This window comes from Homo sapiens, chromosome 12, assembly GCF_000001405.40.
Source record: "Homo sapiens chromosome 12, GRCh38.p14 Primary Assembly".
Classification (NCBI taxonomy): Eukaryota; Metazoa; Chordata; class Mammalia; order Primates; family Hominidae; genus Homo; species Homo sapiens.
Window position 1 is genome coordinate 118,643,805 of NC_000012.12, and position 7,429 is coordinate 118,651,233.

Below are 7,429 nucleotides of genomic sequence, written 5' to 3' on the forward strand. Positions count from 1 at the left end.
ACAGCACCCATTTCATATTCAGAAGAATGCTATTTCTTTTGTTTTGATTTTAATTTCTTTTTATTGAGGTAAAATATGTACATATCATGTACCATCTTTACAATTTTAAGTGTACAGTTCGGTGGTAATAAATATATTTATAGTCGTTTTTTCCCCTTCATCCCCTCCCCTTACCCTTCTCTTTCTCAGCCCCTGGTAACCACCAATTTACTCTTCTTCTTCATGAAATCCACTTTTATGGCTCCCACATATGGGTGAGAACACGTGATAATTTGTCCTTCTGTGCTTTGCTTATTTCCCTTAACATAATGACCTCCAGTTCCATCCATGTTGCTGCAAGTGACCGAATTTCATTTTTTATGGCTGAATAATATCCCATTGTGCATAGACACCGTATTTTCTTTACCCATTCATCCGTTGATGGGCACTTAGCTTGATTCCATATCTTGGGTATTGTGAATAGTGCTGCAATAGATGTAGGCGTGCAGATATCTCTTTGATATACTGATTTCCTCTCTTTTGGATATATACCCAGTAGTAACATTGCTGGAACACATGGTAGTTCTATTTGTAGTTTTTTGAGAAACTTCCATACTGTTTTCCACAGTGGCTGTATGAACTTACATTCCCACCAATAGTGTATGAGGGTTCACCTTTCTCCACATCCTTGCCAGAATCTGTTATTGCCTGTCTTTTTGATACAAGCGATTTTAATTGAGATGAGATGATATCTCATTGCAGTTTCGACTTACATTTCCCTGATGATTAGTGATACTGAGCATTTTTTTCATATACCTGTTGGCCATTTGTATGTCTTCTTTTGAGAAATGTCTGTTCAGATCTTTTGCCCATTTTAAAATCAGATTTTTTTTGCTATTATTTGAGCTCCTTATATATTCTGGTTATTAATCCCTTGTCAGATGGATAGTTTGCGAACATTTTCTCCTAATCTGTGGGTTGTCTAGAAGAATGCCATTTTTGCACAGTAAATTAAATAGTCACCTTAGTTATGACTAGATTGCCTCAACTGAATTCTGTTACTGCTATTCAGAGCTATGTACTACCTGCCTCAATTTCTTCACATAAAATGGGGCCAATAATATAAGTATCTTTCACTGTCTAAATCATTTTTCTTCAAAGTCAGGAACTGAATAGATCCACATAGCAAAGTATGTCAGTGTAACATCATAGGATTGTGGTGAAGAGATTTATTGTAGCACTACATTTGTAGATATGGAGTATATCTGTATATATATCTTAGCAGAGTGTCTGGCATTTAGGAAGTGTATTATATGGTAGCTTATTAATCCTCTGCTTTTGCATACATAAAATGACAACAATGTCTTACATTTCTGGCATATAGCAAGTACTTAGTGAATTATTATTGTCTTAATCTTGCTAAATATAAACATTTTCCTCCAAACTCCCTCTGAGGAAGATTGCCATATTTCAAGTGAAATAAATTATTTTCTCACGCCAGCCCATATTGTTTGCTTAATTTTGTTTTTTTGTTTTGTTTTTTTCTGGCTAATGTCAAGAAGAGAAAATGCCATCCCGTGGATCTCAGGGAGGTCCTGGAGATATTGACCTTGTGTTAACCTGGAAGGGCGCTCTCCAAGGTCCTGAAGCAGTGTCTCATTTTGTAACCAGAAGGGCACTTTGAGACACTTGGGTGCATTTTGTGGTAGACAAATAGATGGTTTGTGTTCCATGAGTGTCATGGCCCTGCAATTGAAAAAAACAAGTTGAAATATTAATAGGTCTTACCAACTGCTGTGTGATTGCAGAGTTGAAAAGGCACAGGAAGCCTTTGGGACAGAATTGCTATGTGCTAGAACAGAAATGATAGGAAAGAAAAAGCTGTGGGCTCGGGGAGTGGCTGTCCAAATAGAGCAGAGCTATTATTTGAGGGCAGAAACCACATAGTCTCTCTGCTATTAGGTGAATTGTACCCCATAGGATCATCAATAAGCCACTTAGATCCACAATAGGGAAATTCACCAGAGACTGGGTTGAGTTAAATGGTGGTCACAAGTATAATAATGAAATAGAAGTGGTTCTGCTTTAGCACCCTCTTCATCTTACCCTCCATATCATCCTCACAACTTGGATACAAGAAGATCCTCCTGTGTGACCTTGGAACCTCCTATCTTGATCTGCCTGCTACAGCTCCAAATTCTGTGGAAGGATCTATAAAGTTGGGAATACATTGAGCTGCAAGTAAAACACATCTATAGTAGCTTCTAACAAGAATTCAGGAGGTAGATTGTTGCTAGTATTGGTTCAGTGAATGGCTTGGAAATGTCAGGCTGTTTTTTTCCTCAGCCTTTCTCTGATGCTTGTTATCTCAAGGTCATGCAATAGCTGCTTCAGTGTCAGATGTCTCATATATATTCAAGATGGAAAGAAGAGGAACAGGGAAAAGGCAGAGACATCACACCAGCTGCTTCTGTCTCCTCTTTTCAGAAATGCAAATGTTTTCTGAGGACTGCATCCTTAGTAGACTTTTGCTTATGTTTGTTGGCTATACCTGGGTCACATGACCATCTCTAGCTGCAAGAGAAGGTGGGAATCATAAACAAGATTGTCATGATCAACTGAGACCAATCACAACCCACCACCTAGAGTTGGCACTTTACTCTTCCAAACAAAATTTGATTTTGTTATCAACAAAGAAGGAGAATAAGTATTGATGAGTTGATTAATAGTGTCTGCCATTGCCCTTTTTCTTTACAACCTGAGCTTATAGTCTTGGGAAACTCCTTTTTTAAGTTTTTTTTTTTTTTTTTTTTTTTTTGTATCTTGAGAGGCTTGAGCTATGCTTATAGCTGCTTAGAAAGTGTTTAAATGAATAAATGGCTGAGAAGATTTCTGATGAGTTGTCAAATAGGTCAGGAAGCCTCTTTTTTTCTTAATATATTTTGGCTTGGGGCTAGAATTTTTTAAATTAAAACACACCTTAATTTAAAGGTGTGACTCCAATAATGAGAATTTCAACCAATGACACATTATGGAGGGCAAATCTAACTTTTCATAGAGCATTGTACTGTGCAGTATCCTTCGGTTAGGACTTTTGTTGCCTTTTACTTTTGTGAGGAGAGTCCTAGTATGTCAGCCCTGAAGGGAGTCTTTGATAAACGTAGTCAAAAGATAGAATGCATTGAAATCTTACCATCTACTAGTCACTCTACTACAGCTTTAAAATTACAAACTCCTTCAATCCTTATGAAAAACCTATGCAGTAGATACTATTATAATTTCTGGTGGAAATTAAGACCTAGAACGCTTTAATAACCTACTTAAGTTCATATATATTGCATGTGGAGGATCTTGGATTCTAATCCAGACTGCCTGGTTCCAGAGCACATAATCATGTCACTTAGGCAAAGCAGCCTGTCTAATAATAACAGCCAGGCTTGAATGAGAGTCTGTTTATACAAAATTAGAAACTGTCACATAACAGGCATTTATGTAAGCATATTACATACATTTTTTCATCTGATTTTCACAACCATCCTATGAAGTAACTACAATTCTTATCAACATTTTACAGATGAAAAAAACAAAGGCAAAGAAAGGTTAAGTTACTTGGCCCTGGATTACAGAGCTTGTGCAGGGTGAACTCAGGTTTATCTGGGCACTGAACTCAGGATCTTTCCTTGTGTCATTCTGTATCTCTTGAGATCCCTTTTTTTCAAACCCCTATTTCTAGAGATGAGGTTCACTAGGAATAGGATAAAGAAATGCTCATTGAAGGTAATTAGATGTTAGGAAGCTTGTAAGGGTTATTAACTCCTTTTTACACATATTGCTCATAATAGCATGCAAAAATGCTACCACCAAGAGGCTTCCAAATACAATGGCTTAAACAGGATAGAAGCTTATTTCTCTCTTGTTAACTGGCAGAGTTTGGTGGTCTGAAGCTGGCTTTCATTTATGGATCTAAAGCAGCTGTTCCACTTGCAATTTCTTATTCAGCAGAAAGGAGAAAAGAAATATGGAAGGAAAACAGCTTGCTTTTAGGTACACAATATAGAAGTTACATACACCATGTAGTTTCTCCTACTTACATGTCATTGGCCAGAATGTAGTTACATGGCACCTCACTGGGAGGCAGGTTGAGAAATATCTGGGTGGTTGACCATATACTCTGGGAAAGGAAGGAGAAGATAATAGATGTTGGTAGATAATCATCAGCCTCTGTCACATGATAGATGAGGAAATGGAGGCCGAGTAAAGACTTACCCAATGATGGCAAACATACAACATGCACATTTTAAAGACTAGATTGGGAGAAGTATCAGGATGTGGGGCAGTAGCTTGGCAAGCCGTATAGGGATGCAGAGAAAGCATATTGGAAACCCTGAGTGGAAATAATGGGCCACAGTGAAGGAATCAGGAACCTGGAAAGCCCAATCTTAGAGGTCCATAGAGTAAATAGCCAGGTACTCATTTATGCTTATGGGATGAATGGTATGATTTAAGGCACTGACAGGAAGCAGGGCTTCAGGATTGCCCAACTCCAGGAAATACCATTTCCAAACAGTAGAATGTTGGCTCTGCCAGTTAGGCTTTTCTACTACCCTGCTGTAGGTTGGATACCCCTGGGAGGCAGACTGTGAGTTGGGGATTGCCAGGCCAGAGGTTTATTAAGGAGAGCTTTTGGAATCAGTACTTACTGGGGGAAGGGAAGGAAGCAGGATTGAAAAAAGAAAATCAGCTGCAATGTAGTCTCAACAGAAACCTCAGCCAAAGTTATGGGGAGTTCTGAAAATGCGGTGATCCTTCATACTTGTCACTGAAGTTGTCTCAGCAAAAACGCTGGGTCTGTATACCCTCTGTTAATTAGTAGTTGGATGCAGGCTGCCCAGAGATGGGGGCATGACCTTGGATGAGGTAGCTTGGATGAGATAGCTCTCTTCAGCTGAAGCAAGAAGGGGCTGATTGCAGAGGACACTTTTCCAAAAGTACTCCAGAAGTTAGGATAATAAGTCTTTCGTCTCTAAGCAGGGGGTCTTGGCAGCATGCGGTGGCATCCACCACACCCCTCAATCACTGCACTATCTGCTATTCCTCCATTAAACAGTCTTTATGCCTTGAAGAATTTGGGCACTTCTGAAGCTCTCTCTTTCAAATCTCAAATATCCATGGTGAGGAGGGTATATCTACAGCTTAGATTTCATTTATTATTTAATTAACTGTTTTAACTATCAGTTAGCCCCTTCTAGGCAGTTGCTGTCAGTACAAAACAGTAATAGGACATATAACACCAAGACTGAATAAGACAAGTCAAAAAAGGTCCACCAGGAATTAGGAGGAGAAGCTGGGAGGGAGGCAAAGCCATGCTTCTCTTTTCCTCACCTAACTCAAGGTAGAATCTGCCTAGGGCGGGAAGCAGGGAGAGGATGGGGCACTGTCGAGTTCTGAAGTCAGACTTACCAACCTCACAATTTTTGCCCAAGGCCAACTCTACCTCAGATATTCCCTCTTCCTTTTGTTTGAATTTCTAATTTTCCATTTGCCAAGATGGCTGCCTGTTCAGAATGAAAGATCACAGTTTGATCTGATTCAGAGTTTGATTTTTTTCCCTCTTCTGTCAGCATAGCAGCTCATGCATCTGAGGGCTACAGCTAAAAAGTGATTTTTAAAGACTTCTCATTGGCAAAGAGATCAATGGAAAGAAATCTCTCTCTCTCTCCCCCACCACTTTCTATTCTGCCTTTAATTTTTCTCCTTCTCCAATCCCCTGCTAGGAAAGTTTTGTCTGAGGGCATCTAACATACTTTGTCAGAAAGTTGCCTTGTTAAGGATTGGTGTCCTGCTGGGTGAACCGAGGAGGTGGTGTAATTTCCCCCACAGTCTTGGCAATTAACTCAGCTTGAGGAAGGGGTGGAATCAAAGAATTCCATCGGGGAGATGGCATCCCAAGGCAAAGTCATCTGTCAAGGACAGGTTTGTCGCTAAAACAAACTTCGTGGCAGCCTCCAAGAAACAAGTCCCTGGAAGGGATGGTGGTGAGGATGCTAACTAGTGGGACATATCAAAGAGGGACAACCTTTCAAAGAAGATATGAAAGAAAGGGCTCAGGCATCCTATATGCTCTGCACTCCAGGCTCGGTTGTGCCACTCAATGGCTGTGTGATCTTGAATGTTTCTGGGTTTCAGTTTCTCTATCTGTGAAGTGGGTGAATCCTATCTACATGTTTTAGAGAGGTAAGGCAGTGAACTGACAGCAAAGGACATAGGCCAGTGTAAATTAAAGGGGTTTAATGGTAAAGTCTCTGGAACTGGAAAGGGAAGTTCTCAGAATATGAAGTAGCTCTAGTGACGGTCTTCTCCCTCTTCTTTTTTGTCACACCTTGTGTCTATTTTGGGACTGTTTCACTCCCTTCTCTGCGAACTATCAGCTTCATCTCTAACTCGTCGTTTCTGCTCATCTAAATAGCAGCTTGCATAAGACTTTTGAGGTGGCTCCAACCGTCACACTCTGCCTCGTGACTTTTCAGCTTCTGTTCCTGTTCAGTTTCTGTTCTGTCCTTTTTACTTTTTTGAGACGGATTCTCGCCCTGTCACCCAGGCTGGAGTGCAGTGACGCAATCTCGGCTCACTGCAACCTCCGCTTCCCGGGTTCAAGCGATTCTCCTACCTCAGCCTCCTGAGTAGCTGGGATTACAGGCACGTGCCAGCTAATTTTTTGTATCTTTAGTAGAGACGGGATTTCACCATGTTGGCCAGACTGGTCTCAAACTCTGACCTCATGATCGGCCCGCCTCAGCCTCCCAAAGTGCTGGGATTACAGGCGTGGCGACCACGCCGTCTCTGTTCTGTTCCTTCAGCTTCCATGACAGATCCTTCTTTCATTTAAGCCACACTCCTGAGAGAGAGAATCTGATTGGTTCAGCTCCATCTTATGTACTCAGCCTCTGGATTGGCTGCCTTTAGGTCAGGTGATTAAACTTAAGCCAATCAGCTGTCCCATGGCAGGGCGAACTCACATCACATGCATGGGATAAAACCTGATTGCTTGAGGCTGCCCAGTCAGAAGGGACTTGGCCAGGGCATGGCCACCTGCATTGAACCTTTAGCTAGTTCTTATCCGCAAATAAACATGTTATGAAAATTCCGTAGGCCCCAAGGCAGTGCAGTAGATGCAAGGAGCACTGACTTTGGGATCAGGAGATGGTTATAGGTCCTGGCACCAACCCATCTGATTGGGTTCACTTCAGTTCACTTTCCTGGGTCTCCACTTTTACATTCCTCACTGAGGGGTTGAGCTTGACTACAGTATTTGTGATATTATTTTCTTGTCTCCACCCACCTTTCTCAGAATCATCTCTAGCAAATGACCAGATAAATGGAGGCAAAGCTGCCCAAACCAATGGATTCACACAGAAAATCTAAACCAACTAGGAACACGGAGTCAGTTTAG

The 7,429-nt window shown here is 41.0% G+C and overlaps 1 long non-coding RNA gene across 1 annotated transcript, besides 2 other annotated features; it reads right to left on the reverse strand.

The window, feature by feature from the left end:
- Positions 1–864: 864 nt before the first annotated feature.
- Positions 865–6,863, reverse strand: LINC02460 (long intergenic non-protein coding RNA 2460). Its single transcript, NR_187536.1, has 4 exons — positions 4,680–6,863; positions 4,071–4,150; positions 2,086–2,190; positions 865–1,725 (listed from the first exon to the last, which is right to left on the reverse strand). It is a non-coding gene; the product is annotated as a long intergenic non-protein coding RNA 2460 (long non-coding RNA).
- Positions 1,440–1,734: a silencer, noted in NCBI's record as "tiled region #1346; HepG2 Repressive non-DNase unmatched - State 10:DNaseD, and K562 Repressive non-DNase unmatched - State 10:DNaseD". NCBI's record gives its function as "represses a minimal TATA promoter and a strong SV40 promoter by Sharpr-MPRA in HepG2 cells, with weaker repression in K562 cells {active_cell/tissue: HepG2 | K562}" and the evidence as "EXISTENCE:reporter gene assay evidence [ECO:0000049][PMID:27701403]".
- Positions 1,507–1,707: a silencer, noted in NCBI's record as "peak1996 fragment used in MPRA reporter construct". NCBI's record gives its function as "represses an SCP1 promoter by STARR-seq MPRAs in K562 erythroleukemia cells {active_cell/tissue: K562}" and the evidence as "EXISTENCE:reporter gene assay evidence [ECO:0000049][PMID:32103011]".
- Positions 6,864–7,429: the final 566 nt, after the last annotated feature.